The sequence below is a fragment of the Homo sapiens genome, chromosome 6, assembly GCF_000001405.40.
Source record: "Homo sapiens chromosome 6, GRCh38.p14 Primary Assembly".
Taxonomy (NCBI): Eukaryota; Metazoa; Chordata; class Mammalia; order Primates; family Hominidae; genus Homo; species Homo sapiens.
Genome location: NC_000006.12, coordinates 106,272,195 through 106,294,431, shown reverse-complemented (window position 1 = coordinate 106,294,431; position 22,237 = coordinate 106,272,195). Strand labels below are relative to the sequence as shown.

The 22,237-nt window shown below is 36.0% G+C and overlaps 1 protein-coding gene and 1 pseudogene across 10 annotated transcripts in view; both read left to right on the top strand.

The window, feature by feature from the left end:
• Positions 1-22,237, top strand: part of ATG5 (autophagy related 5) — a 141,285-nt gene that overhangs the window by 31,329 nt on the left and 87,719 nt on the right. For 8 of the 10 annotated variants that reach the window (NR_104403.1, NR_104402.1, NM_001286107.2 and 5 more), the window contains 2 exons: positions 1,326-1,404; positions 14,609-14,771. The exons of 1 other annotated variant lie outside the window; for it this stretch is intronic. Coding sequence is in view for 7 of the 9 variants with exons in the window: in NM_001286107.2 (NP_001273036.1) it covers positions 1,326-1,404; positions 14,609-14,771 (242 nt within the window). In the remaining 2 variants the exon portion in view is untranslated. Of the gene's footprint in view, positions 1-1,325; positions 1,405-13,594; positions 14,218-14,608; positions 14,772-22,237 lie in introns of those variants that run through there. One more of the 10 variants, XM_047419574.1, reaches the window with a different exon arrangement.
• RN7SL47P (RNA, 7SL, cytoplasmic 47, pseudogene) lies at positions 10,721-11,019 on the top strand (annotated as a pseudogene).

Below are 22,237 nucleotides of genomic sequence, written 5' to 3'. Positions count from 1 at the left end.
ATAAACATATATCTATGTTTATATATATAAGCAAATGTGTACTGCTCCTTGCAGTGCAGGGCTATCCCATAAGCATCGTGCCCAGAGTAGCACAAGCATAAATAATATTAACTGATATTTGAATCTTGGTCAGAGTTACTCATTTTGAGATAAATTTGATGTGTTTTCAAATTTTGCAGCTCTTAAATCTAGGAGTAACTCATTAATAGATTATACAGATAAAGACAGGACTGTGTATAACACCAAGTAGTCTTCTTTTTGCCCTTGTTGTGAGTACAGGGTGAGCATCCCAAATCCCACAATTTGAAATCCAGAATCTAAGACTACAAAATCCAAAACATTTTGAGCACTGACGTGACACTCAAAGGAAGTGCTCATTCCAGCATTTCAGATTTTCAGATTTGTGATGCTCAAATGGTAAGAATATGATGCAAATATTCCAAAATTTGAAGAAAAAAAAAAAAGCTGAAATCTGAAACACTTCTCTAATCCCAAGCATTTTGGAAATGGGATACTCAACCTGTATTATTTAATTCTGATTAACCAAGTAAGCTAATTTACTTTAGATTTTTTAAAAGGATGACTTAAGGTTTGTCCATTGAAATCTACAACATTTGTATTAGTCATGTTTATTTATTGCTAAGTTATTTACTTCACTGTGGGTAATGGTTATATTAGGAAATGTTCTCTTATTTTGGAACTTATTTTTTTAAATTTAGAATTAGGTTTCAGAAGAATATTCAGTGGCTTGGGAAAATGTTGACATTATATTATGTGAAAAAAGTTATAGTACAGTTTGTAAAGGATAGTCCTAATCTGTATTTAGATATGTATGTGTAGGTAGAAGACTGGAAATGTATATGCTATAATGTTAATGGTAATAACCACAGAATAGGTGATTTGCATGCGTTTTAGTTGCTCATCTTGGTTCTTACAGTTTTTTAAAATTTTAAGTTCTAAAAGTAAAAAACATATTTAAATAAATTTACAAAAATCAACTGTCCTTTATGAATACAGGGATGACAATTAGATGCAACAGTACTGTGACATAACAGTTCACATGGCTGATAAAGAATGCCTTTGCCCACAATCCTATTGTGCATATTGAGGTTTCTATGGGAATGGAGTGGTTAGAAGGAAACCACCTGATGCCTGGAAAGTAGATCATACTAGCCTAGGCACGTAACTGTAGAATGTAGTCTTCCTGTGATTTGTGATTAAAGCCCCTGACATTTGGTGTTAAAATATGTGTTGGAAATTTATTTTGGCCTTGTAGTTATAACTTTAAATATTTATTTTCTCAAAATATACTGTTTCATTTTTAGGCATTATCCAATTGGTTTGCTATTTGATCTTCTTGCATCAAGTTCAGCTCTTCCTTGGAACATCACAGTACATTTTAAGGTATAGTAAATTGCATTTCTCCTTCGTCCCATTTGTGATACATAATAAATAGACTTCGAGTAGAATTTTCTTTTTAAGTGAAGTTATTTATTGCTTTTCCCCTGACACTGTTTTAGTTGCTAAGCTTCGATTAGTATTTGTCTATAAGATACTTTTCAATTTTTTCCTAACTCTTGGCAGAAACACTTAAACTTTTAATATATGAACTGCTTTTCTTTATTAGTGCTGAATACACTTTTTAAAATTTACGAGTTTTTGGGCCAGCCTTGGTGGCTCACGCCTGTAATCCCAGCACTTTGGGAGGCCGAGGTGAGCCCAGGATTTCAAGACCAGCCTGGGCAATGTAGTGAGACCCTGCCTCTATAAAAAATAAAATTTAAAGTTTTGAAAGTTGGTGTTAATTTTTAAAAGTCGGCTAGAAAAAACAAAAATCTTGCATGTAGATGTGGATATGGAAGTACAGAGGGGACAACCTAATACTGTTGAGTAATTCTAAGGCTATTTTGAATGAATTAAGAGAAGGGTTAGGAGATAGAATTCCAAAGATTTGATCTACCTCTGTTTTGAAAAATGTTCATTCCTGTAGTTTTTAAGACCAGACTGAATTTAGTGTGACCTAATTTTGTCTCATTATTTTATGAAGTGCTGGTCCCTCATTCCCTTAGCCACCTTGCTTCTGCTCTGTTCCCCTCCCCCAATTCACAAACACCATTTGGTTTTTGTGATTGGAAACACTTATATTAATTGATTACGAACAGTAATTCATTCTCAAATAGCAATGATTCCACCATGTCGGTCTCTTATATTAGTTGATCACGAACAGTGATTCATTCTCAAATAGCAATGATTTCACCATGTTGGTCTCAGGTGCTTGAACTGGTCTTGAACTCCTGACCTCAAGTCAAGTGATCCACCTGCCTTGGCCTCTCTCCAATACATTATTGGAGAGAGGCATGTAGAGTTTGAAAAAGTCATTTAGGTGTCTGAGTTTCTTTCCCATCGGGGTGTCCATTCATAGTTACTGCCCAAAGGTTGCTCATTCATTCTTCATGTGATGCTTTTCCTTCCTGTTTTACTGAATTTGAGTTTGTGGGTCATTAGAGCTTATTTCCGTGTACATTTATTATAATGTGCTTTGCACAATACCATGTTATTAAACACGTTAGTTACCAAAGAACAGTACAGATAGAGCACATAGTGTTGGTATGCATGAATTTCATTTACCATGTTACATGCAAAGCAAGGAATGCTTGCATATACAACAATTTAAGTTTAGAGAGGTGTGGAGATAAAACTACTTCAAACATATTAAGGGTAGGGGTGCTATATTGCCTAACGAGTCTTTTCTGTTAATGTTGGAAGGTAATTCCAATAATTAGATTTTTTTGTGTGTGAAAAATAAGCTCTAAAATACTTTGAAATCTAGATTAAAATATAGCTGTCTCCTTGTTTATTTATTCACTCATTCATTCATTCAACAAATATGGAGATCCTTCTGTGTGTCGGGTTCCTGAAACCCTTTCAATGGATTCATCAGGTCAAATCTGTTTCCATGATATAATAATATCAGGATGTTATTGGCCCTTCCCGTTGTGTTAACATTTACACTGATAATGCAACAACAATGGTGGTTAAAACTGTGGGTGCCTTAGCACAAAGCAGGGCATTGTACCTCACTGTACTAGTTGTCATTGTTTTCTTTATAACCACACACTTAGAGTAAAAAGAACACCAGTTTAAGACTTTTCTGGATGTAGTAGTACAAAGTATTAATTATTATTAATTTTGACTCTTAAGTACATGTCTTTTTAGTATCCTGTATGATGGAATGGGAAGTACACATAAAGCTCCTCTGTTGCATGCCAAATATGGTTGTCTTGAGGAAAAGCACTTGCGTAATTTTTTGGTTGCCAGCTGAACTGGCCACTTATTTTTATGAAACACCATTATTTTACTTGAAAGAATGATTGACAGACAAACTGTGGTTGTTGAGACTTTGTTATTTGTTAGACATTTTCTTGAAAAAGAATAAAGTGAACCTCTCACTGCAGGGAAAACAAGTGATAGTATTTGTTGTCAGTGGTAAAATTTCAACTTTTTAGTGAAAATTTGAATTTTGGAAAACATGATGCCACTGTAAACTTGAAAGCTTTATTCTTAAATAATTTTCTGATGAGATCGGTGGTTATTTTAACATCTGATGTTTTAAAAGTTTCATAGTGAAAGGGTCAACATTTGGAATGCGTAAATCAGTGAACATTTCCAGATGACCAGTGCTTGATGTTACAAGATCATGCATGTGTAAAAAGATCCATTCAAAGTGCAACATTAGAATAAGAAATCTTAATGTAACAGAGTAGAAAATGTTCACTGGTAATGTTTCAGATTCCACATTATTATTACAATAAACTGGATGGGCATGATACCTCACACCTGCAGTCCTGGCACATTGGGAGGCTGAGGCAGGAGGATTGCTTGAGCCCAGAAGTTTGAGACCAGCCTGGGCAACGTAGACCCCATCTCTACAAAAAGTTTAAAAATTAGCTGGGCGCAGTGGTGTGCACCTGTAGTCCTAGCTACTTGGGAGGCTGAGGCAGGAGGATCGCTTTAGCCCAGGAATTCGAGGCTGGAGTGAGCCATGATCAGACAACCGCACTTCATCCTGGGTGACAGGGCAAAACTCTCTCTAAAAATAAATGAACGAATGAAAGAATGAATGACAGGGCAGACTCTGTATCTAAAAATAAAATAAAATAAAATAAAATAAATAAAATAAAATAAAATAGATAAATAAAATAAAATATATAAAATAAATAAAATAAAATAAAATAAAATAAGCCAAGTATGGTGGCATGCACCTCTAGTCCCAGCTACTTGGGAAGCTGAAGTGGAAGGATCACTTGAGCCCAGGAGTTTGAGGTTACATTGAGCTGTACCACTCACAGTGATTGCACTCTATCCTGGGTGACAGAGTGAAACTCTGTCTCAAAATAATAATAATATAATAAACTGAACTTGTTAAATTTGGTGTAGTATTGAAGAATATCCACAAAGCCAAAAAGGCTATTAAAATACTTCTTTTAAACTACATATCTTTGTGAGCCTGAATTTTCTTTATATACTTCAACCAAAACAACATATTGTAGAATATTGAACATAGAAGCAAGTTTAAGGTAATCCATTGGTTGTCTATTAAGGCATTAAAGTTATTTGCAAAAATACAAATTAGTGCCAGTGTTCCTGTTTTTTTTGTTGTTGTTGTTCTGGGAAACATAGTTGATTTTTGTGGAAATACAATTTTAGTGTTAATGTATAGTGGTTTTATTCTTGGTATTTTTAAGTGAATTAATGTTTTTTTTAAATGTTTCAGCTCTAATTTCTAGTGTAAATATCAGTAATATAATCCACATAAATATAAACTCTTTGGGATCCTTAGTAGGTCATACATTTTCTTCCCAGTAGAAAAGTTTATTAGCAAATAGAAAAAAGAATCTTACAGTTAATAAGGAAATTACAGAGAACATTTAGAGTTTGTTCAAGCTATCAGTGTGTTTCTTTCAGCTGTTCTTACTTATTCTTATCCTGGCCTGTTAGAGGAAAGTTATTGCCCAGATTTTTTTTTTTTCTGTATATACTAAGTTCCATTCATTTAGGGGAGCATCAGGACCTAGGTTACTTCAAAGGTTGTCTTCACATGTTTAATTGATAGCTTGTACTGATTGATGTAGGCCTGCCTCTATTGTACTGCCTTATAGATTTTTGATTGATTATAATGAAACTGGGTAAGTGTTAATTTTCAGGCAGAAAATCAATGCTTTTAGTGAGGAAGTGGTTTTTAAAGTTTGTAGAAAATAGTTTATACATTCAACAGATTGGATGTATTGAGTAACAATTTTGTGTCACTTGGTGTCTCTGCATTTATCTTCTGTGGTGTTGTATTGAGTATGCCAGATAATGTTGATGTTTTAACCAGACTTCTTAGAATTTCTTTTACAATTGTTTTCAAAGGTTGTAATAGATTTTGATTAGATTTTTTTGTGCAATATCAAAGCTTCTAAGAGATCCTGTTGCCTCTGCCACACACACACACACATTTGGATCAGTAGTTCAGACTAAACTCTTCAAAAAAACACTGTTAAACAGTTTTCAAACAGACATATTTCCTCTAATTTTTAACTGACTTTGATGTTTGTGATTTGTATAGGTTTATAATGTTTATAATAAATGCATTTTAATGTCTACAATAGTGATTTTCAAACTTTAATGTGCTTTCAAGTTACCTGTGTCTCTTACTAAAGTGCAGTTTCTGATTCTGCAGCATTGGGTTGGATTCAGAGAGATTCTGCATTTCTTACAAGTGCATAGGTAATGCTATGATATTGTTCCACCAGACCACATGTTGATTAACAAGAGTTAGAGAACAATGAAGATCTAAAAGTTAATGGTAATTGTCTGTAGAACCAAAAGCTTTTAAGGGTGAATCAGAAAATTAATATTTTTATAGGCATTTTTGTATTTTCTATTTTCTGGGAGATAAATATAATTGTAGAGTGTTAATTGCTTTATAACATATAGATTTGGATGTATGTTTTGTTTACCAAAACAATGAAAATGGTACCTTCTTCAAGCTTTTCTCATTGGTTTTTAAGGACATTTTGATTCCTAAACTTGGTGAGACTACCAAGAAAATTATCTCATTTCTGTGTCCCCAGTTTTTTATATTAAAAAATTTAAACATATATTAGAAAAATTAATTGTGCGGCAGGGCAGTGACTCATGCCTGTAATCCCAGCACCTTGGGAGGTGAGGCAGGTGGATCTCTTGAGGTCAGGAGTTTGAGGCCTGCCTGGCCAACATGGTGAAACCCTGTCTCTACTAAAAATACAAAAATTAGCTGGGCATGGTGGTAGGTGCCTGTAATCTCAGCTTCTCGGGAGGCTGAGGCAGGAGAATCGCTTGAACCTGGGGGGCGGAGGTTGCAGTGAGCCGAGACCATGCCACTGCACTCCAGCCTGGGCAACAGAGTAGACTCCATCTAAAAAAAAAAAAAAAAGTTAATTGTGGTCCAGTGAATACTCATAATACCTTTCACTTGGATTTGCTGCTTTTTAACATTTTGCCACCTTTGCGTTTTCTCTCTGTATTTTTTTTCATTAATTCTATAGGCATGCTGCTTGCAAAGCGACATTACAGTTAAAAGATTACTTACAGTATGTAGATTTTTTAAAATTAAAAAAATTTTTTCTCTCTTTGTCCATGTTGAGAACAGTGCATGGAATTTTTAAAAAAGGAGTTAATGTGATTCAAAAGTTTAATGACATCAGGTGAAAATAGTGGGGTCTTTAAAATGCCCAGTTCTGTTGCAAATCCTAAATAAAGTTTAATAGAGTAAACAAATCCTATAAAACCTTGGTGTTTTTCTTTCTTCCTCTTGGTAACATGGTGCTGATTTGGTGCGTTTTGGTTTTGAGGAGAGGAGACATTTTAATTTTGAATGTTGACAGCAATGATTAAGGGTAAGAGCTCACATTTGTTAAGTAAAATAAGATCAACATTCAGATAAGTGCTTATGTGCTGAACTCTGCTGAATGCCAGAGATAACACAAGTTAGGTTTTTGAACCAACTGTCTTTCAAGCACAGCAGGCAAATCCTGTTTTGCTTACCATGCTTGAAAAAGCCCTGCATTGGTCCTGACTGTTCCTTGAGTATTTTTGTGTGACTGAGCAAGCTTCTTTTCTGATGGACAAGTTTTTTCTTGCTAGGCCAAGAGCCACTGTGTTTCTTTGAAGGAATTTATCATGTCCCTCCTCCTGTTATGTGTTGTTGACATAGGTCTGTGGTAGCTTTTCTTTCCTGAAGTTCTTGAGTGTATTTCATGGTCTCTCCTTTGCTTCTATCACTGCCTGCACTTCCCAGCTATAAATGTTGGTAGCTGTTTTATAGTATCTATCAATAGTATGTTGTATTAGTTATCTACTATTGTCTGACAAATTACCACCAGCTTAAAACAACATTTGTTCTCTGACAGTTTCTGTGGGTCAGGATTCTGGGCATAGCTTATACCTGGATCTTCTGCCTAGGTTATGAGGGTGCCATCAGGGTGTTGGCTGGGCTGCGTTCTTAACTGGAAGTTCAACTGAGGGAGAATCCACTTGTAGACTTAGTTTGCTGGCAGAATTCATATCCTATGGTTGTAGGATTGAGGGGCCTATCTTCTTGTTGGCTGTCAGTAATAAGCTGCATTGACCACCTAAAGACCATGTGAAGTTCTTGTCATGTGGACTTTCCCAACATGCCTACTTGCTTCAGGGCAACAAAGAAAGTCTAGAGGTAGTCTGGTAGTAAGACAGAATCTTACTGTATAACATGACTTAATCACTGGGGTAACATCCCATCACCTTTGCCGCATTCTTTGAGTTAGAAGCAAGTCACAGGTTCTGCCCACATGCAAGGGGGAAGGGATTATAGAAAGATAGGAATACCAGGTGGTGGAAATCATGGAGGGTCATGCAAACTTAGAACTTTATGAAGTAAGGCTTGTTTAGTCATTTATTCATCAGATATTTATTGATGTTAACATATACTTTTAGCCGTGACAGAGTAACTGGTATTTGAGTTTTCCTCTAGTCATCAACAATTAGAAAACAGGACCAAAAATATGAAATAGAGCTGTTTTTAGCACTGAACCTTAGAAAGGGAACAAACAAGGTGAGCCCCATGTGCTTTGGAACGGTTGCCTGACGGTGGTACGGAGAGTGGAGCTCAAGCAGAGCAAAGAAGTTCAGTTGAGCTGAGGATGCACAAATTGGAGTTCTGGGCTGCTGAAGTGGTTGGAACTTGCTAGGCAGGGTATCAGAGAAGGAGGAGCCAAAGTGTACGTGTATGTTCTCCCTGGGTGCTTGGCTGAGGCCTGGGTTGCACATGCATAGCTGATACTCTGCAAGGTCTAGTAGATAGTGGATGTTGTAGGGTTAAGAGTGGACAAAAGATACTGAACGTCTTATGATGCTGGGAAATGTTGGATTCCAGCTCATTCAAAGTGGAGAGACATCTGGCTACATACTAGGCAGTTACTTGAGATGCCAGAAAGGCCATGATTTTGGAGTAAGGATCATACATCAGAGCAGGAGTTGGCAAATGTGGTCCACTGACTGTTTTTGCATGGCCTGTGATATAAGAGTAGTTTTTACATTTTTAAGTGGTTAGAAAAAAATTTAAAAAAATATTTTGTGACGTGAAAATTGCATGAAATACAGATTTAGTGATGACCATAAATAAAGTTGCATTGAAATGCATCCACTCATGGAAATTCATATACATATTGTCTATGACTGCTTTGCGGCTACAACAGCCTAGTTGAGTATTTGGGATAGAGACTGTATGACCTGCACAGTGTTAAATATTTACTGTCTAATCCTTTACAGAAAGTTTGCCAATCTCTATTGCCAGTCTTTAACCCTAGAGTAAGAGTTGCTCTGGACCTGCCTTTTTAGGATTAAGGAGAGCTGCCAGTAAGTTAACTGCCAGCCAGAACAAAACTTAGCATCTTAAAGGAAGACAGTATAATCTAGAATCCTTACAACATATTCACAGTGTCCACCATACAATCAACAACTACTTGACTTGCAAATAAGCAAGAAAATATGGTCCATATCAAATAAAAAAAAATTTTACTCTCAATAGAAACTGACCTAAGAGAATCCACATCTTGGTACTACCGGAAAAATGAATTAAAGCAACTATTATAAATTCAGTAACTTAAAAAAACCACAAAATTGTAGAACTGCTTAGAAAAATATCTGAAATGAGGAATTTACTACATGGGCTTAACAGCAAATTAAAGATGGCAGAAGTAAGGTTCTTTGAACTCAAAGACAGATCGATAGAAGTTACCCAGTTTGGAGAATAGAGAGATGGAAATTGGTATAGAGGAAAAACAGAGCCTCTGGGATAATATCAGGCAGTCTGCATGTAATTGGATTCAAGGAGAGGAGAGAGAATGGGTCAGAAGAAATATTTTTAAGAAATAATGGTTACACTCCTCAGTGTCAAAGCTATAATAATCAAGACTGTGTGTGGGTTGCCTACAGAAAGGGAGAAAATATTTGCAAATCATATACTATCTAATAACAGTTTAATATACGGAATATGGAAATAACTTGATAATAAAAAGAAACCCAATTAAAAATTAGTCAAAGGATTCGAATAGACATTTCTGTAAAGTTCTATAAATGGCCAGTAAACACATGAAAAGATGTTCAGCATAACTGGTTTTTAGGGAAAAGCAAAAAAAAAAAACAAAAAAAACCCCACACAACGAGTTACCCCTTCACGCCCTCTAGATTGGTTATCATCAAAAAGATGATGTACAAGGCTGGGTGTGGTGGCTCATGCCTATAATCCCAGCACTTTGTGGGGATGAGGCAGTTGTATCACTTGAGCTCAGGATTTTGAGACCAGTGTGGTCAACATAACGAGAACTCATCTCTACTAAAATAATATTTTAAAAAATAGCCTGGTGTGGTGGCATGTGCCTATAGTCCCAGCTATTTGGAAGGCTGAGGTGTGAGGATCTCTTGAGCCTGGGAGGAGCAGTGATTCCTGATGGCATGTCTGCAACCCAGCCTGGGTGACAAGAGTGCAACCCTGTCTCCAAAAAAAAACAACAAAATACAGAAAACAGTAACACATGATGGAGAGGGTATAGGTTAATTAGACCCTTCACACGTTGCTGATGAGAATGTAAAATGGTGTAGCCTTTTTGGAAAGCAGTTTGGTATGTCATCAAATGATATACTTACCACATTACACAGCAGTTCTATTCCTAGTAATATTCCCAAGAGAACTGAATATGTAATTCTGATATGCAAAATAGGGAAATAACTTGCGTCCACACAAAAGCTTATACATGAATGTTCATAATAGGCAAAGTGGAAATAACCCAATGTCCATCAGCTGATGAATAAACAAAATACTGTATGTATCCTTACAATGGAGTATAATTTGGTCATGAAAAGGAGTGAATTACTGATAATATGCTACAACCTTGAAAATACCATGTTAAGTGAAAGAAGACACAAAAGACTGCACATTATATAATGCATTTATATTAATTGAATAAATAACTTTGTGCCAATAAATTTGACAGATGGACAAATTCAATGAAAACACAAGTCACCAAAACCGACATAAGAAATAACAGAAATGAATAGCTGTTGATAAGTAACTTTGATTTGTAATTTTAAAAGCCTCAGAGAGTAAAACACCCTGCACAGATCGTTTCATTGGTGAAGTCTATAAAATACCTAAGAACTAGTCGGGCGCGGTGGCACATGCCTGTTGTCCCAGCTACTCAGAAGACTGAGGTGGGAGGAACGCTTGAGCCCAGGAGTTCTGGGCCGTAGTGTGCTATGCCGATTGAATTTCCACACTAAGTTCAGCATCAATACGGTGACCTCCTGGGAGCAAGAGACCACCAGGTTACCTAAGGAAAGGTGAAACAGCCCAGGTCAGAAATGGAGCAGGTCAAAACTCCCGTGCTGATTAGTACTGGGAGTGCACCTGTGAGTAGCCACTGCACTCCAGCCTGGGCAGCATAATGAGACCCTGTCTCTAAAAATAAAAATAAAATAAAATATTTAAGAAATAATATTACAAACTTTACAAGCTTTGTTACTCTGTACAAACTTTTTCCAGAAATGAGACACTTGCCAACTTGTGTTAGAGGCCAGAATAACCCTGATACTGAAACCTGATAAAGACATTAAAAGAAAATTATAAGCCAGTATATTTCATGATCATGGATGCAAGAGCCTTCAACAGAGTACTAGCAAATTGAATCTCGTAATAATTAAAAAGGATGGTACACACCATGACTGAGTTGAGTTTATCCTAGGAGTACAAAATTGATTCAACATTCAAATCTCAATCCGTGTAGGCCAGGTGCAGTGGCTCATGCCCGTAATCCCAGTACTTTGGGAGGCTGAACCAGGAGGATTACTTGAACCCAGAAGTTCAAGACCAGCCTGGGCGACATAGGGAGACCTCATCTCTACAAAAAAAAATTAAAAAAATTAGCTGAGTGTGGTGGTGTACACCTGTGGTTCCAGCTACTCAGGAGGCTGAATTGGGAGGATCGCTTGGGCCCCAGAGGTTGAGGCTGCAATAAGGTGTGATTGTGCCACTGTGCTCCAGCCTGGGTGGCACAGTGAGACCCTCTCAAAATAAAAAAATCTCAATCCATGTAAATCACAGAATAAAATAGAAAAATCAATAGATACAGAAAAAGTCATTCATGGACAGAATTTAATACGTGTTTGTCATCAAAACTTATAGCAAGCTTAGGAATAGAAGGGAATTTACTTAATTTGACAAAGGATAGATATGAAAAGCCTACAGTTAAAGTCATGCTACATGATGGTTTATCGAATGTTTTACCAAACTAAGATCAGGAAAAAGGCAAGAATGTCTGCTCAGTGTAAGCACTTCCATAATGCATCGTATGTGTTCTTAACTTTGCTATTAAAAATTGTACAGTAAAAACCACAGGACTTTTGGAGGAAAGGGTTACTTCTGGGGCAAAGGGTTAGGGGCACAACATCCACAAACTTACACTGATAAAAAAACAGGAACCTAGTAAAAACCATACCACAGTTTTACACAGGTAAAATGTATGAGAAATGCATAAATACTACAATAAATATGGCATTTCATGTTGCAAAGACTGGAACTTTGCTTGCAGAAATGGACATAGAAGACTTGCGCCGTGACAGGTGAAGTGAAAGGAGGATTTTCTGGAATCGGACAAGAAATTGTAGCACCTGATGTAGATGAGTACAGCTCATAACATGAATTGAAGTAGCTGGTCCATTTTGGAGGTGTGCACATGTGTGCATTGTATGTTTTCCTAGCTGATTGGTTTAGCTAGGTGAAATTTTCTGTTCACCTAGCAATTCTTGTGAACAGTATTTACATATGCAACCATAAAATTCACATTATACTCAACTTGTTCTCTATTAGTTGCTTTTAAACAAATGCAAAAAAACTTAGTTCACAGAACATATATGAATTTACCAACAAACATGAAAAGGCACTCAACATCTTTAGTCATCATGGAAATGTAAATTAAAACCACAAAGAGACATTACATTACACTCACTAGAATGACTAAAATGAAAAAGATTGACAGTAGCAAGTTTGAGGACACGGAGTAACCAGAACTCTTATACATTGCTAGTGGGAGTGTAAAATTGTACATCATGTTGAAAAATAGTTTGGCAGTTTTTAAGTAAAGTTAGAACATACACTTACTCTATGACCCAGCATTTCTTTTTCCAGCTGTATACCCAAGAAAGATGAAGACGTGTCTATAAAAGACTTGTGTATTAATGTTCATAGCAGCTTTTTAAATAATAGCCAGTATCTAGAAACAATCCCAGTGTCTATTAACAAGTTTTTAGATAAACAGATTGTGGTGTATTCATTAAATGGCCTGCTACTCAGCAACAAAAAGGAATTAATTACTGATATGTGTAGTAACAGGAATGAATCTCAAAAATATGCTAAGTGAAAGATACTAAGTTACATAATACTGCAATTCTGTTTATATGAGATTTTATTACAGGCAAAACTAATCTGGTGTTATGTCATTATCAGTAATTCCTTGGGAAGGGAATGAGGGAACTGACTGCAAAGGGCACAGAGGAACTTTTGTGGGTGATGGTAATGCTGTATACTTGGGCTGACAGTTACTCATTGTCAAAACTCATTTAATTGTACTCTTGATTTCTGCATTTCACTGTATGTGAATCATAAGTTTGACTTTTAAAAAAGTTTATTGAGAGAGATGAGGAATGGTATCTTTAATCACTTTCAATTAATTCCTGCTTTCCATCAGTGTTTCATAGTCACTCAGGAGCTTCTTTCTTTATCTTTTCATTTCATTCTTTTTATGAAGGCTCCATGACAGGGTTAATTGAATGTTGTTTGTGAATACAGTAACCGGAGTAGGCTATAACTAAATGCTGTTTTTTTGCCATTTTTAGCTCCTTTTAAATTTATTAAAGGACATATAGGATAATAACTTTGTAAAATAATGTTTGAATATAATGATTATCTTAAATATTTAAGTCTTTGGAGGAAGTGATATTGTACAGTGGTTAAAATGTAGGACTTGAGTCAAATTAGCCTTAAATCCTAGCCCCATGACTATCAAGCTGAATGACACTTGCGACTTGAGACATTCCCTAAGCTTTAATTTTTTTATCTGTAAAATAGCAATAATAATAATGTTTACCTCAAGTGTTGTTAGGATTAAATAAGATAATCCATATAAAAAGTTTTAATACGGTGTCACAGTAAGTGTTCAGTAACTGTTAGCTGTTATTATCTTTTTTTCAGTGAAAAGTGCATCAGTCGTCTCATTTACCTAACTCCCTATATGTCCAATGATCATTGCTTTAGCTGCCTAAAAGAATCAGTGAAGTTATAGAATGTAAATTTAGCTATTTGACTTTAAAATCTACTTTTTTAACAGCTTTATTGAGGTCTAATTGACTTATAGTAAGCTTAACCTAGTCAAAGTGAATAAGTTTATGCCACAATTTATATGTTCATTTACCTGTTGATATTTAGATTTGTTTTCTGTTTGGGGCTGTTACAAATAAAACTATTGTGAACATTCATGTAGCAAGTCCTTAAATGGACATATGGACATAATACTTTTTTCTTTTCTTTCTTTTTTTTTTTTTTTTGACATAATACTTTCATTTCTCTTAGGTAAATGCCTAGTTGTGGAATGGCTGGGTCAGATGGTAGGTGTCTGTTTACTCTTCTTAAGAAACTACCAGACTTTTCCAAAGTGGTTATACTATTTTACATTTCTGTTAGTAGTGTGTGAGGGCTCCATTCCACATCTTTGCCAATATTGGTATGGTCAGTTGAAAAGCTATTTTTCAGATTATTACCCTTTGATGCCTTTTTTTCATGTTGTTATAAAACACATAAGAATTATTTGGGAAAAGTACAAAATGGGCCAAATAGCTAAAGATTTTTAAGTTAAATTTTAAAGTATTTTGGGTTATTTCAGTGCTAAGAGATAGTTTACTAGAAATATTGAAAAACTGGGGGATATAGTTCTCTTTTAAGAGGTTAATTTTGTAATGTGTGTATCCTGTTTTATATGTATATTTTTTCCTTTGATAGAGTTTTCCAGAAAAAGACCTTCTGCACTGTCCATCTAAGGATGCAATTGAAGCTCATTTTATGTCATGTATGAAAGAAGCTGATGCTTTAAAACATAAAAGTCAAGTAATCAATGAAATGCAGAAAAAAGATCACAAGCAACTCTGGATGGGATTGCAAAATGGTAAGTATAATAGTGTTTAATTTTAGAATACCACTTTATAAAATATGATACAGCCATAACCCTGTGAGTAGTTGATACATTTTAGAATTGGTGGTACAAGTTTAAATTGTAGCCTCTGTGCCCAGATTTGCACAGAAGCTACTTTTAGTCATCCCTTACATTCTGCTCTTTTGGTGTCCTCTGTTCATGGATTCTCTAGCATTAGACTGATTGCTCAGCCCCTAACATATGGCATATGTCATATAAACTTGGGTATAGCTTCTGAAGGAAATGCCATTACTCTAAGGATGTGGTCTTTATTCCTTAGTCATGACCCTTCTGTGGTCACAGTGGAAAATTCTGGGTATGTACAAAGATACCTCCACGTGTGGGGATTGAACTCCAACCTCTGCTTTCTCAGGACAGTAGACTTGCTTTGTGCTTCAATTCCCTTTCTCCTTGCTGTGGTTTAGAAAATACTCCCAAGGAAAAAGCTAAGTGGAATGTGGTGCTCATCTCTGTATCCCTCATATTTTGGAGAATGTAAATAACTCTGTGATCTTGCCTGCATTGATCACCCTCTAGTGCCTTCAAACAGTTATTTTATGTACAGATAGTCCTCCCTTTCCATGGTTCCAGTATGCATGAATTTCAGTTATCATGGTTTAGTTAAGTAACACCAGGTCCCCAACTGTATGGTTCAAATTTCAATTACTGTGGTATATTAACCGCAGATAATTACATAAAATGCAAACTTTATTGCTAGTTTAGTCCAGGAATCATTACATAACAACAGATGAGCTTATGATCGGTGATAAATTATGTCACTTCTTTCCATGTCTGTCAGTGATTGGCCTCTCTATGTCTGTTATTCATTTTACCCACAGATAGCAAAGCACATAGTCGTGTTGCCTCCTTGTCTCCAGCAATAAGCCCATGTAACATTTTATAAAAATGGATAATTGAAAAAAGGGAATTGGCCAAGAGAGATGTAAATCCAACAAAGAAACAAACTGATAATGTTGGGAATGAAATTTGAATAGAAAGAAATGGAGTTATGGAAGCAATAGCTGACTTTGGAAATGTTGACATGGCTGCCCTTCAAGAGACTAGATTATGCAGCCAGGGGAACTTACTGAGGAACTTATATGCAGTAAAGGTGAACTTATTGACATAAATAAGGAAAGTAGTTGTGACAAAAGGATGAAGATGTCCCAAAGGAAGTGATGCTATAAAAAATTTCATATTAAAGGAACTCTCAGATATTTTATGACATTGAAATACAAATAATAAAATATTAGAAGTTGATTAAAATGTAGAAAAATGACTTCAGTTCACCAAGGCATGGGAAAGATGCTTGCCCATAAGTTATATGTTGAGAAAGCAAGCACTCTTCAAACTATAGTTCTTAAGTTTTTACAAAGAAATAAAACATTTTTGGCTGGGTGTGGTGGCTCATTCCTGTAATCCCAGCATTCTTTAGGAGGCCCAACTGGGAGGATCACTTGAGGCTAGGAGTTGGAGACCAGCCTGGGCAACATAGCAAGACCTCATCACTGCAAAAAAATCTAAACATTAGCCAGGGCATGGTCGCATGTGCCGACAGTCCTAGGCAGGCTGAGGCAGGAGGATTGCTTGAGCCCAAGGAGTTCAAGGTTACAGTGAGCCATGATTGTGCCACCACACTCCACTCTGAGTGACAGAGTGAGACCCTGTCTCTAAAAAAAAATAATTAATAAAATTTAAAAATAAAACAGTTCTCAGTGTTTCTAATGTGTTAAATTATAAGTACTAAATAAATATTAGGATTTCTTTTAACTTGTTATTGTTCAGTATACATTTATTGTGGTGTTTTGTTTTGTTTTGTTGAGACGAAGTTTCACTCTGTCACCCAGGCTGGAATGCAGTGGCACAATCTCAGCTCACTGCATCCTTTGCCTTCCAGGTTCAAGCGATTATCATGTCTCAGCCTTCTGAGTAGCTGGGATTACAAGCATGTGCCAACATGCACAGCTAATTTTGTGTTTTTAGTAGAAACAGGGTTTTGCCATGTTGGCCAGGCTGGTCTCGAATTCCTGGCCTCAAGTGATCTGCCCGCCTTGGCCTCCCAAAGTGCTGGGATTATAGGCATGAGCTACCATGCTCAGCCTCTAGTGTATATTTATAACCAACGGTAAGAGTTTTTAATGTTTTGACAAAATTTTTTAAAGATTGTGGAACAATCGTAATTGTCCCCATTAGTTATTAAGATCACTTTGCTTAGTTTTAACTTGCATGATTACTTCTGCAGTCCCATCCTATGATGCAAAGTGAGGGCATGTCCTGTAATTCCTGTGTCTTCAACAGTGTTTTTGGCCAGGGAGTTAGTCCAGTAGATGTTCTTTCATGGCAATGACTAGAATAAAACAGAAGAAAACCTTCACCTGCCATAATTTTTAAAAACTGTGATCTAGTTTTAACTTTTGGACTATGCTATTACCACATCAAATGGGTGTTTGTAGGTATTTAGTATTTGTTAAACTTTCCTTTTACAAAATTAGGGCATTTCTGTGGTATCAAGAGCAAGTAAGGCATGCATTTTATGACAGTGTATACTGTAAATTACATTTTTTCATTTCTCATTTCTTTGTTTTAAAATTTTTAGATTTTACCTAGGTTACATGGAGTCACTCCTTAGTTTCATATTTATACATCTGGCATTTCTCAACTAGGTTATAAGCTTTGCAAAGTTAAGCACTAGGCCCCGTACCACATTTTTATTACTGAGTTCACAAATTCTTATTAAATGATTACAATAATTTACACCTCCTTAAGAAGGTGTAGTGCCTTGTTTCTTGCTGGTGATTTGAAGATTAAATGATATTTTAGGAGACTTGTAAATAAGAAGATAGCCTAAATAGAAAAAGATGAGGATCGTGTAAAGAGAGAAGGATTTGAGTTAACTTCACAATTGAAGTTAATAATTTAATTAGACAGTTAAGTAGGTGTTCTTAGAGTCTATTGTGAATGGCTGAGTCTGTTAAAAAGAACTCAGGGGTTCAGCAGAGGATTCTAAAACTGATTTAAATGTTTTATTTGGGGCATTGGAAGATTGGGTATGGAGGATAATGATTAAGTGTTAGAAGAACAACAAAGGCCTGGTTTTTAGTTTCAGGTCTTAGTAGTCCTTAGGTCAAGTCAACTGCTTTGAGCTTCAGTTTCTTTTTTTTTTTTTTTTGGAGACAGAGTCTCGCTCTGTCGCCCAGGCTGGAGTGCAGTGGCATGATCTCGGCTCACTGCAAGCTCCGCTTCCCGGGTTCACGCCATTCTCCTGCCTCAGCCTCCCGAATAGCTGGGACTACAGGTGGCTGCCACCGTGCCTGGCTAATTTTTTGTATTTTTAGTAGAGACGGGGTTTCACCATGTTAGCCAGGATGGTCTCGATCTCCTGACCTCGTGATCCACCCGCCTCGGCCTCCCAAAGTGCTGGGATTACAGGCGTGAGCCACCGCGCCCGGCCCAGTTTCTTAATCTATAAAACAAGAGAATATCTGTTAGGTTTGCTTCATTGATATCTGTAGAGGCCTTATGAAACACTAATACAGTTTGTGTGAAAGTATTTGAAAGGGAGTAAAGCGGTCTTGATGAAAAGAGTTAGTGAGAAGTCACTTTTAGATTCCAGGAGAGGGCTGGCAAATACGATCATGGGCCAGCCATCTGCTTTTGTAAATAAAGATTTACTGGAACCCGGCCACACTCATTCACTTATGTATTGTCGTTGGCTACTTTCGGTAGCAGAGTTAAATCATTATGAGGAGACTATGTGGCCCACAAGCCTAACATATTTATTGTCTGGCCTTTTAAGAAAATGCTTGTCAGCCCATAAAAGGTTGGTTAACCAAGCTACAGCTCATGTTTATCTTTGACCTGAAGTCTGACTCAAAATGTTACACATTCAGAACTGGGTATAACATAATGTAGCTGACTTAGTCTAATAACTGCATTTATTACAATTTTTTGGGGCATAAAATTACTTTTTTTCTATTTCTGCCTTGGCTCATATTGTTTCTTATGTGACTGTTGTAAAGTTTTCTTTATTAAATTTTATTAAATTAATTTTAAAGTGACGTTTGATTAAATCCAACTTAATAATGTTTGGTTAAAATATACTTTATTCCATTTTGTTTTTGGTTATAAATTATTTTTGTAGCTATTATGTTTGGTTTTATTTGTGATGATTATGAATAAGCTTACACTACTGTAATTGAGCTAACATACTTCTAAGACTGAGTAGTCTTGTGAGAGATCTCCACAGCAAAGTCTAATGAGAGGTATGCTGTGGATACTGGAGTCCTTGGTACTTTATTTTCTGTTTATTCAGAATGAGAATATTCATTTCGGAAATCTTTAGCTTGGTAAATGTTGCTTGTAGAAAATATATTTTGGAGTAAAATGCTGAATGTTAATTAATGTAAATGGGTAAAAGGTGGATGTTTTCTATTCTGTTTCTTTTATCAGGAATACTTTTTTCCCTTTAACTCCTACTGATGCTTTAATGCTCATCTCAGTTGTCACTTTCTATAAGAAGCTTTCCTTCTTTTATTGTTTTAGTCAACAGATATTTATTGAGCACCTTGTGTATATCTGACATTATGCTAGGGGCTAGTGATCATCCAGCACTGATGGGACAAACATGGCTCCTGTCTTCACAGAGCTTTATAGAAAAGTGGAGGCAGAACTGTTAATGCTTTCAACTTTCATGACCTTTTGTCCATTTAGGCATTTTTTTCTCTTGTATTTTATCACACTCTGGTATAGTTATATGGTTTATGTATTTTGCTGGCCTATCAGTTAGCCTGGTTGGGGTACATCTTACATTTTTGTATCCCCAGCACCTAGTGTGGTCTTTGGCAGAGAGTAGAGAAACTAAATATTAACTGCATGACTTCTTTATTTTATTCCTTTCTAATACTAACAGGAAATAATATTAACAATTTTTCATAAGTAGTTTCCTATTAAACTAAAGGAAGTGTCTTGTTTGAATTTATTTATGGAATTGGATTTTATGTAGAGTTTTTTCTTCCAAAAGAAGTTTTTATTAATTTGTGAAGTCAGAGATATTAAACCTTTCTGTTAGTGCAATTGTAAATTTCTCAATATTGTGACATAATAGATGGCACATTTATTTCATTTAGAACTGCACTTGTAGATTATAACAGCTAAACAACAGTTTAAACAATTTTTGAATACTTTCAAATGCTAATTTTAATTTCTCAGAACTCTGTGAAAGAGAAATAAGAAAAGCTTATGAAACCAAGAAAACTCATTTAGGACATACTGTGCCTTTCAGTGTTTTTTTTATGAGTTTTCATTTTATATATAAAAATATTTAACCTCTCTGTGAAATAAAGTTAATGGCCACAAGAAATAAAAGAAAGTAGCATTTTTATTTATGAGCAGTTGTTACTGCAAGTGCAGGCTATTACCTATTTAATATCAAGTTGTTTTTCTTATAAGCTAGTGATTTGAGGAAATCTATAAAAAATGTTTTTACCATGACTTAGTTTCTTGCTTTTCGGAGTATACAATCCCAAAAAGGCGGGGAGGGTTGGCATTAGATACGTTCTGTAGACCTGCAAATAAACGCAAGGTTTAACTGCTAATATGTTAAAAGTGTACAGTGTTTCTAAAATGTGGTTAGGCTTTTTCAACTAATTAATATTTTAGAGACAATAATTATTTGATAGTGTGCCATTTTAACTTAAAACTGGTTTTTAAGAGGAGATGGTGATTAGCTAATGGTAATTTTATAACAAGTCACGACATTTGGAAAATACTTTTGTTTGGTAGGTAACATAAAAGTTAAATGCAGCCGTTCCAGCTCTTTGGAGGTTTGTGTGATATAGACTGGTGGGTTGTCATTGCATTGCCTTGTTTTTACTACTTCTGCTTATAGTAGAATAAGTAGACTGAGAAATTATTGTTTTGAGATGGAGCACCAGACCTGATCTATTTATTTATTGCTGTGTCTCTTATCAGTTGTATGATCATGGCAGGTCACTTTTCTCTCTAAGCTGGACTTTTCTTTCTTTTCTTTTCTACCCCTTCCCCAATTCCCTTCCCTTCCCCTAGGTGATGTCTGTAAAGCTGGAGTTTTATTACAAATACGAAGGTGGTAATGCCTCATAAGACTCAAATTCAAGGATTGTAAAGCAATAATCACATACACCTTAATTCTGATGATAGATGTTTTCAGTTCATTTCAAAAGGACTTCCTGGGTGAATAATATTTATTGTTCTCCCATCCCCCTCCTTCTCGGTCTTTTTAAGCAGGACTTACTAGGTAGAAGGAAATAGATAACTTTCCAGAAATAACTGTGGTAACATAGAAAAACTACTAAAACAGAAACAAGAGTTTTTAGACTTGATGCAGCTACTACCTGTGTATCTATTTTGAGTCTTTAATTTCTGTGTTTTTTGTTACAGTGTCAGGTTCTGTTGTAGTTGCAGGTGGTGTAAAAGTAGATTCCTAAGTAGAACTGTAGGAGGCATAACTACTCTTCTTGAACCTTTTTTCTCATTGAAAGACTGATATTGGATAAGCTTCCTTTTTTACAGTCTTTAGCAAAATTCAGATTTTTATCAGTCTTTGGAACACTGAGATTACATTGTATAAATAAGAGCAAAGAAAATAGTAGAATGAATCTATATCGGTCACTCAGTCTCATCTGTTACCAGTATATGGCCAGCCTTGTTTCATCTATTATTTTTCATTCCTTGTCTGTGTGAGTTTTTGGAAATTTTTCTTTCTTCCATTGCCACAAATATTTCTCACAGATTTTATACTCTCATGTTTAATCAAGTCTTGGAAACAACATTCATTGTCTTTGATCTTCATGGCTGCAAATTCAGTCTTCATTATAGGAGAATCATGCCCGGACCGTAGTAGTGTGGATTAGCTAGCCAGTATAAGAACCTACTATGTGCCAGCCTCTGTGCTAAGCACAGGGGACGCTGGGGTAAATATGACAGGCACGATCCCTTCCCTCTGAATGTGTAGGGTAGCAGAGGAGCCAGGCATTAAACAGATCACTTTTACGTAATTGTTACATTTATAACTGGAGTTGTAGAGGAAGGAGGAAGGGCTAGAGAGAGTGGTGTGGTTGTGATGAAAGTTGTTTCAGGCTGAGGGAATGATCTGGGCTAGGTTCAGAAGCAAAGAGCCTACTAAGTTCTGAGAACTGACTAGAATGTGGTGATCAAGATCGAGAGTGGTAAGGAGGTCAAACTGGAAGTCAGGCAGAGACGCTGCCTGTTCAGGGCTTTGTAGGCCATTTTAACAATATTGAACTTAATCCCTGGCAGGAGGAACAGAGAGTGGGATGGTAGGAGACCAGTGAAACATTTTAAGCAGACCTATAACAGAATCAGATTTCCCTTTTTAAGACATCCCTTTGGCTGCAGTATGGTTAATGAATTAGAAAGAAGCAAATGGGAATTGAAAAGGA